Source organism: Homo sapiens, chromosome 22, assembly GCF_000001405.40.
Source record: "Homo sapiens chromosome 22, GRCh38.p14 Primary Assembly".
NCBI classification, from domain to species: Eukaryota; Metazoa; Chordata; class Mammalia; order Primates; family Hominidae; genus Homo; species Homo sapiens.
Genome location: NC_000022.11, coordinates 47,554,713 through 47,571,454, shown reverse-complemented (window position 1 = coordinate 47,571,454; position 16,742 = coordinate 47,554,713). Strand labels below are relative to the sequence as shown.

The 16,742-nt window shown below is 48.1% G+C and overlaps 2 annotated features.

The window, feature by feature from the left end:
* Positions 1,458–1,958: an enhancer, noted in NCBI's record as "H3K4me1 hESC enhancer chr22:47965246-47965746 (GRCh37/hg19 assembly coordinates)". NCBI's record gives its function as "activates a minimal SCP1, AML or CMV promoter by ChIP-STARR-seq in primed H9 embryonic stem cells {active_cell/tissue: H9 hESC(primed)}" and the evidence as "EXISTENCE:reporter gene assay evidence [ECO:0000049][PMID:30033119]".
* Positions 11,889–12,389: an enhancer, noted in NCBI's record as "H3K4me1 hESC enhancer chr22:47954815-47955315 (GRCh37/hg19 assembly coordinates)". NCBI's record gives its function as "activates a minimal SCP1, AML or CMV promoter by ChIP-STARR-seq in naive H9 embryonic stem cells {active_cell/tissue: H9 hESC(naive)}" and the evidence as "EXISTENCE:reporter gene assay evidence [ECO:0000049][PMID:30033119]".

Here is a 16,742-nt window from a genome sequence, read left to right as displayed (position 1 = left end):
ATGTGGATCACTTGAGGTCAGGAGTTCAAGACCAGCCTGGCCAACATGGCGAAACCCCGTCTCTACTAAAAATACAAAAATTAGCCAGATATGGTGGTGCACACCTGTAATCCCAGCTACTCAAGAGGCTGAGGCAGGAGAATGGCTTGAATCCAGGAGGCAGAAGCTGCAGTGAGCTGAGATCACACCATTGCACTCCAGCCTGGGCGATAGAGCAAGACTCCATCTCAGAAAAAATAAAAATTAATAATAATAATAATATTAAAGAAATGGAGGAAATTGACTGGATCCAGGGATAGTAGGGTAAGAACAGACAGGCCTGGTTTTGCCCAGCAGGCAGGAGAGGTGCAGATGCAAATTTGACACGTGTGGAGGACCTGCTCCGCGCCAGGGACTTCCAGTGACTGCTAAAACCTCCTTTTAAGGATGCATCTATTCCTCATGGTCTATCACTTCACCGATGAAGATGCTGAGGGTCATAGAGGCTGGATTAGTCCTTCTAGCCTGGAGCTGACAGGCAACAGAACTTGAATGTGAATCAAATTCTCAGGTTCTAAATCCACCATTCCTCAGGACACCCACAGTCCCCAGGGGGAGAATTGAGTCATTTTTCCATTGAGGCCCACACAGAACAGGAGCTAGAAAGGGAAGCAGTGGCAGGCAGTGAGAATGCAGCCTGTCCATCCTCGCAGACACCAAAACACAGGAATGTCTGCCAGAAAAAGGAAGCTCTTGGACATGTTTCTGCTGCAACAAGAGGAAGAGTGGAGTTCCCAGGACATGTCCAGTCCGGCATCTGAAGGTGGAGATAGAGCGCAGACGTCAGAGGGATGACAGTGGACAGGCCTGGGAAGCGAACAGGAAGGACCCACAGGCCGGGGAGACTCCGAGCTGCACACCAGCCGCTAAGAGGGAAGGCCCCATGGCGTGGCAGCTGCAGACGCTGCCTCCTTGCTCCGCCTCCCGCTAGCTGCACCTGCTTGGGTACATTGTGAATGTCCTCTCAGGTTGTTTCCTCATCTGCAAAATGGGAGTGAATGCAAGGTCTGTGCCAGAAGAAATGTTTGTGATAACGAAATATGTGTGTAAAAGTTTTAGTAGTAAACACAATGCCACGTGAACTCCTTGGCCAGCCCCCGAAGATGGAGGATGCTTGTGAGATGCACACAGCCTCTGGAGAGCAAGGGCAGGTGGAAGAAATGAGATGGGTTGACCACCCAGCGCCCACCACAAGGGAAGCATGCAAAGTCCCGGCTCCCACCTGGCCCGAACACCATGAACGCAAACAACAAGACCACTAGAAATGTGGCTGCTGAGCCCTGTGCAGCAGAGGCAGAAGCTCCTGCCTGCAGACTGACAGCTTCCCACCTTCGCTGAATCAAACCCCAAAGCAAGAAGTGCCCAGGCACCAGCACGGGATACTCAAGGCAACACTGACCCAAAATGAAGACACGCCAGCCTCCAGCCACCACTGGGCCACACAGCCCCATTCCTACTGCACCAAGGCCAGTGTTTCCATCATGGCCTGCGTGGGCGGAGCCAGCAGTGAGCCACACAGCCACTACCCCGGTCATTCCTGTGCAGATCAGTTACTGAAAGCTCAGCCCTCCCTCCCATGACTCCAGGCACTGGGATTGCCAAGATGAGAGCTGAGAGTGGTAGAAGTAAAAACTAAATAACACAGAAAGAAAATGGTAGCCAGGGCCCCGGTCAATCAGGGTGCAGTGGGAGGCACCAGAGAAAAAGAGACTCACTCCACGCAGGTGCTGAGGGTGTGTGGGATGTCATGGCAGGGGAAGCCATCCAGCCCTCACAGGTGAGAAAATGCCTGGCTGGCATCAGGACCCCGACAGCATTTCAGACCACTGCAGCCTCAACAGAGGCACGAGGAATGAAATTCACTCACAGATCAGGGCCTCCAGAGCTGAGGAGACGCAGGCCAGGCACGTGAGCAGCGAGGACTTATTCTGTGGACCTGGGCTTCATTGTGGGACTCAGCAGGGAAAGGAGAAGGTGAATATGGTGAATATTCAGATGCTTTTTCCTGGAATTATTTTCCTGGCTACAGCATACGGGAGGGAGGAGGTCAGGCTAGAAGAAGGCCTCAGACCCAAAAACATCTTCACATCTGGGAGAGAGATGGGGGAGTTGTGAGTGGTGCTGAGGCTGTCAACCTAAATAACAGACAGAGAGAGGCTCTCTAAAAGAAAAGGTGTCCATTCAGGAACAGGCCTTGCAGGGGGAATACGTGTGCCACGGTGAAACTAGGTGCATACGCAGGGAGGCAGAGGACAGTAAAGGTTTTTCAAGGAAAAAATGAGGGTTGTGTAATTGTTTTGAGACCATTGTCCTTGGTGATATGGTTTAGCTCTGCGTCCCCATCAAACCTCATGTTGAATTAATTGGAATCCCCAGTATTGGGAGTGGGGCCTGGAGGGAGGGATTGGATCCTGGGGCTGGGTTTTGCATGAATGGTTTAGCACCATCCTCTCGGTGCTGTTCTCACGACAGCGAGTGAGTTCTCACGAGATCTGGCTGTTTAAAAGTGTGTGACACCTTCCCTTACCCCCTCCTCCTGCTCCAGCCACGTAAGACAAGCCCGCTTCCCCTTTTCCTTCTGCCACAATTGGAAGTTCCCTGAGGGCTCCCCAGAAGCTGATGCCGCTCTGCTTCCTGTACAGCCTGCAGAACCATGAGCCATCAAAACCCTTTTCTTTATAAACTACCCAATCTCAGATTTTTTTTTTTTTTTTTTTTTTTTTTTTTTTAGACAGAGCCATCTCGGCTCACTGCAACCTCCACCTTCCGGGTTCAAGCGATTCTCCTGCCTCAGACTCCCAAGTAGTTAGGATTACAGGCACGTGCCACCACACCCTGCTAATTTTTGTAATTTTTGTGGAGATGGGGTTTCACCATGTTGGCCAGGCTGGTCTTGAACTCCTGACTTCAAGTGATCCACCCGCCTCAGCCTCCCAAAGTGCTGGGATTACAGGTGTGAGCCACTTTGCCCGGCCTCAGATATTTCTTTATAGCAGTGAGAGAACGGACTGATGCCCTCAGCTATGAGGATCAGTAATAAGGGTGGCACCAGTCCAAGGTTGGACAGGCAGCTGCTGGGCAGATGTCCTCACACGTGTATTTTTTGTGTAAGGTTGTGATGGCCTTTGGGCAAAGTGGTGGTTGTTGCAGTGTCTTCTGTGATAGACTTTGTTGTCTGGCTGGAGAACCCTCTCTTCGTGACCTTCCTTGACCCTGTTTGTCAGAGTTCTTTTTAAAAAATTTTTTTTAACACAAGTGACTCCATTTTGATTCTGACAAGTTTCACCAGGCCCCCAAGGAGCGATTGTTTCACTGGCGTGGGGCTCAGGCTTCTCTCACCCATATGTGCTCTCTGCGTCATCAATTTTAAAAATGCCTTAACCAGGGGGCCTGACTGGCATCGCCATTCCTGGGCCGGAAATGAACTGAGCCTCTGGCTTTCCAGAATGTTCTCCCCTGATCCAGCCTCCCGCCTCGCCCCAGAGCCTCTTGTTTTTCAGAGCCGTCTGTCGACGGCTGTGTGGCATCAGACAGCTGTTTTGTGTTCACCCCGAAGCGAGCGGCACTTCATGGCGAGTGAAGTAATTTCTTGATGTGGCTTCTGTCACATTATTTATTTTTATGATGTGCTTCTGATGGAAGGCATCATCTCCATGGATGTTATTGATGGCTTGTGTGAATTTGCATTAAGAATATCTAGGATCTGGAAAATGGAATTTGTGTTGGCCCAAGCTTGCCAGGCCTCCGCCACAGCCTGTGCTTCACGTGTTTATCCCGAGAAGCAGAAAGCGCAACTCAGCCCCACTGTATCCCTATGCGGGCACTGAGGGCCACTCAGGGGAGAATAAGACCCACACCCGAGCATCAGGGGCTCCCGGCCCTAGGCCATGAGGTCCAGAGAAAACCGGTGGCTGGGTCGACAATGGCCCAGGATGGCACTGGACAAAAACAGTGGAATACACAGATCACTATGATCAGGGCTCAGGAAAGGCTTTGCAGAGGGCAGATGCCTGGGTTGGTCCCAAAGCACAACTACATGGGATCTTCCTGAGCCCTGGCAGGGGCCTGAGAACACTGGGAAAGGGGACAGCCTGGTGCGCTAGAAGGAGAGGGGACAGGAGCTGCAGATACGGGGGCGCTGAGCCAGGCTCACTGTCTCTTACCTGGACTATTGAAACCTTCAGCTATGACCACTTTAGTCACTGCCCACACTGCAATCAGAGTGTCCTTTCTAAAATACCAATGGCTGTCATAAAGTTCAGACTTCCTTGGTCTACCCCTACAAGCCGTATGGCCTAGGCAGGTTCTCTAACCTCTTTGGGCCTCAGTTTCCTCATCTGTAAAAGGAAGACTAATAATAGTGTCTCTCTCGTAGGCATGTTGAAGGCTAGCTTAGTGAATATGTGTAAAACTACTTAGAACAGTGACCGGCACAGGACAGTCACCAATAAACGTTAGGATTAATCATAACAATTATCGCTAATAATAATTGTTATTTTTATGAAACTCATAATTAGCTCCCCCCCAACCTGTGCCGCATAAAGACCATGGTTCCTGATGGCGCGGTTACTCTGTGAATCTCCAGGCACACCCCTGCTCCCATGGAACTGTGTTCTCCCCAGCGTTCCCACTGGAAACACATCCCTGAGCATAGCATGCTTTCTGCAGACTCTTATCTAGATGTCACTTAATTTTCAAGCCACAGCGTCTCCATGAGTCTGGTCTACAGAAAACGTCACACATACTCTAACATTTACAAACCCATGCACGCAGACGTCCATGGAGTAGCCAGACCCTGGGAGGAACTGAAATGCCTGTTAAGTCAGGAGCAGGCACAGGAGCTCCGCCCCTCCACAGCTGGCAAAATGAACGTGATCAGCACGGTGACATGCTGTGAATTGTGACGACAGGCTCTCCTGAGAAGGTGGGCAGATGACTTGCAGTGTTTGGTGGTTTCTGTTGTGTAAATACAGTCCCTCCACCATGACAGACCTCAGGATACCAGCCTGATGCCCATCAGCTGATGCAATTCCTGAACCGTTGACAATGAGCTCTCAGCAGCCCATGTGAGCCGGCTCTGGGGCACCACCAGATGGACCTAATGACAGGGAAACATCTCAAAGGCCTCTGGTTAGGAGCAAAAAGCACCTTGTGGAGCCATACATTCTGTAGGATCTCCTGTATATACGACCCCACTTGGGTAGAAACGTATGAGCTGGGCTTCCGTGTAGAGTACGTTTCTCCTCATTGCAGGAGCACCTTGTCGCTAATTAAGACAGAGCAGACACCATTGTTTTAGAAGCTTTCTGGACTCTGGGGCCAACCTCCATTTAGCATTAATTACCTTTGTCTTTCCTGCCATGGATCTGTACACTTCCTTGGGACAAGTGTGGGGAGGGGCAGGTTGTTTCCTATTGAATTCCCAGAGCCTATCCCAGGGCATGGCCCCCAGGAGAACTTCTCTAATATGCTGATGAATGCAGCAGCCGGCATTTACTCATCAAGCACCCACCCATTCCCAACCCTGTGACATCTCACCTTCAGCATCAACCCAGAGTCAAACCCCTCCCTGCTTGCTCACTTGGCCACACCCTCTCCTACCTCTTCAAGCCTCTCCTACCACAGCTCCTGGACAAAGTCCCCAAAGGGAAACACATCTACGGTCTGACTCTTTTGACAGCCAACAGGGAACCTGCCCTGCTTCTCACACTGACCATGACCCAGCCAACAACAAAATTCCAGGAGCCCACGCGTTCAGACAACTGAGCCTCACCAGTATCTCTCTGGGGGGTGCTTCATCCACAGAGACCTGGCCTCTCTTCCCTTCTCTGGCAGCATTCTGAGAAGGTACTAGGTGTGTGGGGACAAAGGAGGGCCACTTGGGGCCAGGAAATTGGCCCATCAGAAACACGGCTTTTCCATCTTACGGGTTGGATACTCCTTTTGAACATTAGATCTAATAAGCCGATTTGTCTTCCAAGATGAGCATTTGGAACTGACCCACAAAAGACCGCAGAGGAGAGGAAACTCTCCACAGAGCAAATCATTAATTCTCTGCAGCCACAGCAGGCTCCCTCACTTTCTCCCTGGCTACAGACCCAGATATAAAGCAGGCGGCATTTTCTCCATTCCACAGATTAGGAGGCAAAATGCCATAGAAGATGAAAACGGCGCTCTGACTTCAAATCTCATGCTCATTATAAACATTTCAACTTCTCTTCTACCCTGACCCCTCAGCACCCAACACAGGATGGAGTGGACAGTCCCAGCTTTCAAAATGCTGGTAGATTTGAATTTAGCTGGTCAGCTCCGGGTTGAGGTCATCCCACTGCAATGAAGCTAATTAATGTGGATGCCCACACTCAGTATTTGGAGCACCCTGAGGCAAAGTGCCCCGCAATATTTGTTTCTACCCATGATTCCAGCTTGGACAGGGCATGTGGTATGGTTGGTTTCCATGCTCTCCCGGCACAGAAGTCTACACTGCAGACAGGCAGCGAGCGTGACCCCTGCTTCCTGTGTCTGGGTGCAGAGGATGAGCAGAACGGTGGGTGGTGCTCATCTGGAAGTGCGCGCGCTCACACCCATGACGGCCTCCACTCCCTCCCTTTTCCAGCCGTCGACTCATCCATCAGCAGCACCCCAGGGGCCAGCTGCAGCTGCTTCGTGCAAACACCCCTCCTTTCCCCCTAAGAGCTGTTTGATCATTATCCTGTGTCATGATTATTTTGACAGGATAATTTGAAAGATAACTTATTGAATACTTAGTCATATTTGTCAAATAAACAATTGAAAACCGTCTGTTTCCCCTCAGTCGCTGAGTGTGCACCCACCCACCGACTTCAGGATTCATGGCTTCCTCCCACTGAAAGCAGCAACTGTGGGTGAAGACAGAAACTGGAGCTGGCCTCAGGCTGCATTTTGAGAAAGTGATGTTTGTCTTCCAAATAGGTTGTCCAACCCTTCCGGAGCCCCTTTTCCTAGACAGATGTCACCTTTCTGGGCAGTTTGAGTGTTTGCGTGTTCCTCACCCTCACTATGAAGGCAGCCGCTAGGTCACCCCCTTTCCCACTCGGTAAACGACGTGCTGGCCCCCTTTATTCCCTGCATGTGCAGAGACGCACACAACCCTCCCCAGGCACCCCTCTCCCTCACCCCCTCCAAGTCAGGAACCTGGACCCGCCCTGCAGTCTGCCTCGGTGCATCATTCCGGCTTCCACCGACATCTGCTGGGCATGTACCGGGATCAACTGCCAGGCCAGACACGGGGACTTAAAGGAGGAAACAAGGCCTGCCCCAAGCAGCCCACCCACCTGCAGAAGGGAGGCAGAGTCCATCTCTTATCCCGAGAACATGGCAGCGCTTGCACCATGAAGTAGACCTGGGGGGCAGAGAGGGGGTCAAAGTGTCTTTGTCCCGGAGGCCCGAGTACAGCCGAGTCCTGATAGGCAGCGTGGATTGGGCTGGATGAACAAAAGGAAAAGGTTCCCCAGGTGGGAGGAACGGCCCCTGCACTGCCTGCACTTGCTCCTTTAGCTCTTCCCGTCCTGCTCCCTCCTGACCCCTCTCCAGCCAGGACTGTGCCCCCAACACCTCCCCAAGCAGCTCTTGCCAAGTGACCCATGACCTCCATGTCCTATCCACTGCCCCTCCTCAGCCCCCACCGTGCTTCATCCTCGGCAGCGTTTTGACGCTGACTCCATCGTCCACCTTGCAGAAGTCCTCACCTGGCTCCCAGGCCTCTGCTCTGCCCTGGCTCTCTCCATCCTTGTTGACTGCTCCTCATCAGTGTTTGCCTCCTCCCCGGCTCCCCCTGGGACCATGGACAGCCCCACACGCCTGGCCTCTTCTCTGTGCAAACTCACCGCCCCCAAGGCCTCACCAGCCACATGGCTGTAAGGGCCACAGTGCTAACAACGCCCAGGTGTCCCTCCTGGCCACAAGACTGATGCACCCACTGACCGTGAGACCCATGAATCCACTCCCTTCCTAACATCACGGGGCGGCCCCACAGGCACCTGTAAGCACACGCCCCAAACCCAACTCCAAGTCTCCGCCCCCTGAACCTGAGCCCCGCACGCTCTTCCCAGTCTCAGGAAATGGCAGCTCCACCGTTCTCACTCTCCAGACTGAAATCCTTGATGGGTGATCCATCTGTAAACTCTGCAGCCTCTATTTCCAAAACACATGAGGAATCTGGGCCAGTGGTCTCTGCCCTGCGTTACTGCAAAGCTTCCAGCTGGTCTTCCCAACTGGCCCCGCCCTCACCTCTTCCCACAGCCCATTCTCAGCACAGCAGCCCAAGCATGCATTTAAAATCCAGGCCAGAGCCAGGCGTGCTGGTGTGCACCTGCAATCCCAGCTATTCAGGAGGCTGAGGCAGGAGGATTGCTTGAGGTCAGGAGTTCCAGACCACCAGGCTGGGCAACATAGCAAGATCAGCCCCTACACACACATACACACACACACACACACACACACACACACACACACACACACAATCCAGGCTGAATGAGGCCCCTGCTGTGCTTGGAGCTCCTGCTCTTCAGCATTTTCTCCTCACATGGAGATGGCCGGCCTCTCATGCCCCGCAGGCACCGCAGTCTGCCCCTTGCTGCTGGCCTGGCCAGGCACTGACTTCTGGGGGCTCCCCAGTGCTCTCGGAGCACCCGTCTCCTCAATGCTTCTCAGTCGCACTGTGCAGGCTGTGGGGTCCAGCTGGACACATTTGGGGTCTTTGCAGTTGTTGCTCTCCACGCCTGGAGCACCCTCTGCAGGCAGCCCCTGGTCCTCCCATCAGCCACTTTCTTTGAGCCTGTGCTCTGCACCAGCCCCTCCCGAGGGCCTCCCTGACACCCTCCAGGGTGGCTCACGCGTGTAACCCCAGCACTTTGGGAGGCCGAGGTGGGTGGATCACGAGGTCAGAAGATGGAGACCATCCTGGCTAACATGGTGAAACCCCGTCTCTACTAAAAAAATAGAAAAAATTAGCCGGGCATGGCGCTGTGTGCCTGTAGTCCCAGCTACTTCAGAGGCTGAGGCAGGAGAATGGCGTGAACCTGGGAGACGGAGCTTGCAGTGAGCCAAGATTGCGCCACTGCACTCCAGCCTGGGCGACAGAGTGAGACTCCATCTCAAAAAAAAAAAAGTCTCCCACACCCAGAACTCAACCCCATACGCTTGATTTTTCCCCACAGAATTCATTGTCCAATGAAACACTTTATAACTTACTTACTCTTCTTGCACATTGTCTACCCTCATCGTCAGCACCAGGATGTAGACTGGGTGAAGAAAAGAGTCTTTGTTGTTCACTTCTGCATCCCCCATACCTGCAGTGCTGCCTGGCGTGCACTCGATGCTAAGTGAGCTGAAGGAGGTGCAGGTGCATGAATGTGACGGCATGTTCAGGGCAGCCACATGGTCGCAGTGCTGAGGTTGCCAGGGCAGGTGATGGATGAGGTGAGAGAGATGATTGACACCTGCCCTGGGGAGGAGCTTGAGCTTCAGCCTTAGTTGCATGGGGGAACCACTGGTGCCCCCAAATGGAGGGAATGCCATGCTTATAAATTCAACTTAGTCCCCTCTGTTCACAGGGAGGGAGCTTGACAAGAGGACCAGACCCAACCCATTGGGTGGTAGTTGGAGTCACAGATTGAGAGATCACAGAGAAATGGAACCCACGAGGGGACAGAGGGCCAGAAGGGAGGGGCCGCCTGACCAGGAGAGTAGCACATTGGATGCCAGCTGTGTCCTCAACTACCCAGCAAGCCTTTCCTTTTCCTTCAGCTTCTCCTCCTATCCTCCATGTCAGCTCCCACCGTATGCATCCTGGGTTACTTCTTTCCCCGGATCCCTGACATCCTGCTGCTCTCAATGAGAAGAGCCCTGCTTGGCTGGGTTTTCATGTCTCTGCTCCCTGCCAGGACGGATGGTCCCTCTCCCCTCACAGGAAATAAATGGGCAATTGCACCCATTTCCTGGGTGCCCCCTCCTGTGGGTTCCAGAACACCTCTGCTGTGGCACTTAGGGTGAATTGCAGTTGATTTATCCATCTCCTCCCCATGGCCATGAGCTCGCCAGAGTGAGACTGCATCCCATTCCTCCCCACACGCCCAGCGCCTCTCAGAGCCTGGGTGAGACTGCATCCCATTCTTCCCCACATGCCCAGCGCCTCTCAGAGCCTGGTGCGTAGTAGGAGCTTAACAGGTGTGCAGTGAATAAATACACAATGCAGGGGCCGATGGATTTTTTTGTCACCACCCTTCAATTTGCATACATTTTATGGTGTCTGTAATTCCCTGGACTACTAGACGGACCAAAAATAATAGGTGGCTTAGCACTACATGGAGAAGACATCTAAGCCTGCGGTGATATATTTCACAGGAAAGGGGAATATGGATTACCTTGAAAATTAATGAAACATATACAAAAAATTAATGATATGAAAAATGGCTTATGAAAGCAGCAAAGAGCTTCTATTGACCATATGCTAAGCAATTCTCTGCCTCTTAAATCATAATAAACCATCGCTCCAAACATTATATACCTTTGGTAGAGACCAAGTGTGTGTACCTGCTCACCTAGCTTTGCATCTGGCCTGCCTCTGCCTCCCACCAGTGACACCTCAAGCCCCCAAGCTCCAGTTTTTCATCCACAGGATGCAGACAACATGACTCTCATGCCATCTCAAGGGTCATATGGAAGATGAGATGAGTGGTACCTGCCATGAGGTAAATTGTTGTAGAGATGTAAATACTAATTCAACATTTAAGTTAATTCGGAGGTGTACCTGTAATTCACTCAGCATATGTTTGGCAAAACTGACCCTGAAGCCTATCATCTAAACAGGATCATAGGCCCTCTCCTTGATCTAGGTACAAACAATAAACAAATAAAATTGGTATCAAATCTTTAAAAGCAATCATTTAAATATAATAGCCTGTAGATGATGCCTACCTAATAAAAGCTCTTTACAGTGCTAACCTGCTAGAGAACAGATGGCTTGCAATACTACATCTAACAATAAAACAGTTCTTATTTTAAAAAGTGACCATCCCTTTAGACTTGCGATGGGTCTTTAGACACCCCCCATACACACACATGCACACATGAGAGCACACACACATACACACGTTAATCCACAGTTCCCTTAATGCAGGTGGTGAGCGCTGCTGGGGAAATCCCCAAGGGCCCCTGGTATTAGTCAATTAGTCGGGGCTCTCTAGAGGGACAGAACTACTAGGAGAGATATATATATATATATATATATATACACACACACACATACATACATGAACACACACACATACACACATATACGTGTGTCTGTATATATATATGTAGAGAGAGAGAGACAGAACTACTAGGATATATATATATTAGTATATATATGTGTGTATATGTATACACACACACACACACACACACACACACACACACATATATATATGGGAGTTTATTAAGAAGTATTAACTCACATGATCACAAGATCCCACAATAGGCCATCTGCAAGCTGAGGAACAAAGAAGCCAGTCTGAGTCCCAAAGCTGAAAAACTTGGAGTTTGATGTTCGAGGGCAGGAAGCATCCAGCACAGGAGAAAGATGTAGACTGGGAGGCTAGGCCAGTCTAGTCTTTTCACATTCTTCTGTCTGCTTTTTGTTTTGGCCTGTTGGCAGCTGATTAGATGGTGCCCACCCAGATTAAGGGTGGGTCTGCCTTTCCCAGTCCACGGACATTTCAAATGTTAATCTCCTTTGGAAATACCCTCACGGACACACCCAGGAACAATACTTAGCATCTTTCAATCCAATCAAGTTGACACTCAGTATTAACCATCACACCACCTGAACAGAGTCCTTGGCAATGTCCAGCTACCAGGCTCCTCTGGCCCCTGAGCTCCCAGGGGCAGCCCCTTCCCTCCTCTGCTTCCTCACCTGCTACACATAATCCCAACATCACAAACTGGGAGGTAAAGTCAGGCCAGGCTCTGGGAGAGGAGGGAGATGTCAACAAACACGCAGTGTCCTCGTCCTTCCATTGGTTGAACCTACAGGTAGAGATCCAGCGTGGGTTGGTGCCCTTCCTCTCCAGTGGGCAGCGGGAACTCTGCAGGCTGCACAGGACCTGCCTCCTGGATCTTCCCATACAGTGAGGAAGCCACACCCTGGGCATTTCCACACGCACCCAGCTCACTCCCGGCCTCTGGCCGTGTCCAATCCTCACCTCCTCTGCTCACTGGAAGCAACACATGGAAGCAACACATGGGCTGCCCCATCCCCACACGGGGTCACATTCACAGGTGGCACCACCAGTGCTAGCGGACCTGCAAGCCACACAGAGACTCTTCTAGTACTCACTATCATGGCTCCAGGGCCCCCTAGGCCACCGCCACCCTCATGTCCCAACCCAGCCATGGCCACCACCTCTGCAAGGAAGCAAAGACACTGGCCCCACGGCACACGCCTGGGTGCTGCCGGCTTTCTGTGCTTTGCAGTTTCAAAGGCCTGCATTAACAGGGAACCCTACTCACTCCTCTGGCCCGGTTCAGATCCATGGGCTCCTCAGGATAGAGAGTGTGGACCAACCACCAAGCACTCGCTAGGCAGTGCCTCCCCACTTCCCTGGGCTGCTCTGGGGGTATGGGGGCACCTCAGAGACCCAGCACAATAGACCTGCAGACACCCTGGCTCCTTTCAAGCAGGGGCCCTGGGGGCCTCTCTTCCCTTTCACCACCGGCTATGACCAGCCCAGCTTCCGTGAACTTCTCTGCATTCCCTGAGGCCCCTGCATACCTGGCTTCAAACATGAATCCTTGCCATTCCCTCACTCCTCCCTAAATGTGTCCTCTTCACACGTACTTTACCTACTTTATAACTGATTTTTTTTTTGCATACTTTACAAGCAATAAAGCCAAGTAAAAAGCAATCCCTCCCAAATCAAAGCAAAATGAAACAAAGAATGTAGCTGTGTAGAAGCTGGTGCTCAACCACAAAGAGAAAAATTATTTCATGTTTCAAATTATGTAAAACATGGTTCCCCTCTTCCATCTGGTAAAGACGTAGTACTCTTATTACACCTAAAACATCGAACAGTAATTCCTTAAGATGATCAAGTAACCAGTGTTTGAATTTCCCTTATTAAATATATCCTAAACACAAAAACTAGTGAAACAAATCTTAACTGTTTTAGAAATCATATTGCTAATAATGACACATGGTTCTTGCTATTTTTAAATAGTTTTGACCCATAAGATAAAGCAAAGTAGTAACTGTGTTAGTATCATAGAAACCAAGAACTTCAGCATGAAAGAAAAGAGATCAAATATAAAGGAAAAGATGTCAAATAAAAGCTCGTAACCTAAATTTGAATTGGAAATATCAGTACAAATACTTGGTATCATACATTTTCTTTAGAAAAACACAGATCCCAGATCTTCAACTGAAAAGCTACAGGATCAATGATCAGCAAAGCAGCAAGGAGCAGCCCAGCACCTACAAGGGAGCCTCAGAGACTGTTTTTCACTAGAAGGGACCAGGGAGGCTCAGGGAAGCATCTGGGACAGAGGAAGTACGCGATGAGCCCAAGACGTCTTGCAAGGTCAAGGGCAAGAGCAAAGAACAATGGGGCTATGTCCCAAGGGCATAGGTGCCACTCAAAAAGTTCCACTGGCCAAATCTGGAATGATTTGAGCATTAACTTAATGATAGCAAAGGATTAAAGGATTATAGCTCATTGAAAGCAGAAATTCAAGTCCATACTAATATGGGTGAGTGAGCATATAAATAGATGGATGGGTGGATACATACATACATACACACTCATACACACACCTACATACACACTTACAAATATACATACATATTCATACACACACTACACATATACATACATACACACACACACAAACACACACACATGCACACATATACACACATACACACACAAACATATACAGGCATGCATACACACATATATATAAAGGCATCCATACACACATACACATATATACATACATTCACATGCATACATACACACACACGAACACATACATACACATATGCACATACATGCATACACACATACACACATCAATACATACACATACACATACATACATACACATACACCTACATACACACATACAAACACACATATGCACATACATACACGAACACACATACACACATACACACACATACATATACAGGAATATGTACACATATACATATAAAGGCATACATACACATCCATACACACATATATACATACATACACACATATGCATATGCACATACATGCATACACACATACACGTATAAACATACATAAACATGTGTACACACATATATACATACATCCATACACATATATACATACATGCATACATAAGCATATCACATGCATGCATACACACATACACACACATGCATACACACTCATACATGCACAAGAAGGCTCCAAACAGTAGAAAGCCAACTAATAAATGTAGAAGGAATATGTATGGAATTAGAAAATTACCATTTGGTAACCATTATAATAACTGATTCAGGCAAGAGTCATCAAAGGATGCTAAAACTAATGGCGGAAAGTTTGAGGAATGACAGACCTTTTCCATAAACTGAAATTACCTCCTTCATGTGATATTTGATAGTTATAGAGTGGAAATTGTAGCTTCACAGTGCGGAAACCTAGAAGACACCCCCTTCACCGAGTGATCCGCAGTAGCTTCACAACGGGGCAAGTGGACGCCATGGGCCTCCTCCCATGAGGCACTGAGAAGAACACAGCATGACTTTTGGGTATCTCTACCAAAATCGCATAATCCGAATTGAATACTGAGGAAACATCAAATAAACTTAAAAAGAGAGGCATTCTACAAAATTCTAATGAAAAAGTCAGTGTCATGAAAGACAAACACAGACTGAGATACTTTTCCAGATTAGGAGAGACTGAAGTGCGGCACATGGCTGGGCTTGCTTTTGCTATAGAGAAACTTGTTGGGATATTTGGTGAAAACTGGATGTCTGCAAAAAAGAAAATAAGGTTTAACTGCTAACTCTCTTGTACTTATAGTTATGAAACAGAATGTTGTTGCTTTTAGAAAATACCCACTCAAGTATTTGAAGATAAAGGGGCATCAGTCTACAAATCATTCCCAAATATTTGAGTACAATATGTGCTAAGAACATAGCAAGTACACATAGGAAAGAAATCAGCAAAATTCAAAATATAGAAAAATCTCTAGAACAAGAAACAGATAAAAGTATAAGAAAAAAAAGAGGGGCGAAAAACACCTAGATTAAAAGAAATTAGGAAACATCCATGAGTCAAAGGAAGAGTAAAATAATAATAATAATACAAACAGGGAAACTTGAACACAGATTATTTTATCTTAAGGAATTATTGCTAAATGTTTCAGGTATGAATTTCCTTTACCACGTCCTCCCAGCATGACATGAAGGGAAGAAGAGCTGAGATAATCGTGGAAGCTGGAAGATGGCTACATGGAGTTTCATTATCCCACACTGTTACTTTTATATACGCTTGGAAATTTTCAAAATACAAAACTTAAAAATAATGAGACAGATCTACATGTTCTGATATGGGAAGATGTGTAAGGCACATAAAGTGAAATGAGCAAAGTGAATGATATGTACAAAATGACTCCTTTTCTGTGAAAAGGATAACTAGTGATAGATGATCGATAGACAGATAGATGATAGATATTAATAGATAATAGATACATAATAGATAAATAGACACATACATACATATATACATACAAGAAATGTCTGGCTCCTCTCCTACTGCTCCAGCCATGCAAAGGAGCCTTCTTCCCCTCCACCTTCTGCCATGATTGGAAGTTCCCTGAGGCCTCCCCAGAATCTGATGCCGCTCTGCTTCCTGTACCGCCTGCAGAACCATGAGCCAATCAAACCCCTTTTCTTTATAAACTACCCAGTCTCTAATGTTTCTTTATAGCAGTGCAAGAACAGACTGATACATGTCAAGAAATGGACTTTCTTAAATTATACAGATATCAGTAATATAGATTAGATTACATATAGGTATGGGTAGAGATTAGATATGGTTATAGATTAGGTATAGATATAGATTAAATACAGATATACATCTACATATAGATATGGATATAGATTAGATATAGATATAGACTAGATATAGGCATAGATTAGATGCAGATATGCATTAGATATATAGATATGTTAGATATAGATATGGATATAGATGAGACATAGATACACACAGATATAGGTATAGATTAGATATAGATGCTTGTGAATGCATGAAAACTTTCTAGAAAGGTATTATTAGCAGTTATTACTTCTGAAGACCAGGGGTGAGGGGAAAGGTGATTTTTTTTTATACCCTTCTGCACTATTGATATTTTTTCTACGATCAGTAGTAATTTTACAATTTAAAACCAATTTGCATTTCAAAATAATAATACCTGATAAAAACTGGAAAAGCATAAATATCTTACTGATTAAATAGAGAGACTGATTAAACAAATTAAATGAAGAGAGATAGCTGAAGGGTCTGAGTTAGCCACTTAAAGAATGATATGGGGCCAGGTGCAGTGGCTCACGCCTGTAATCCCAGCACTTTGGGAGGCTGAGGCGGGTGGACCACTTGAGGTCAGGAGTTTGAGAATAACCTGGTCAACATGGTGAAACCCCCTCT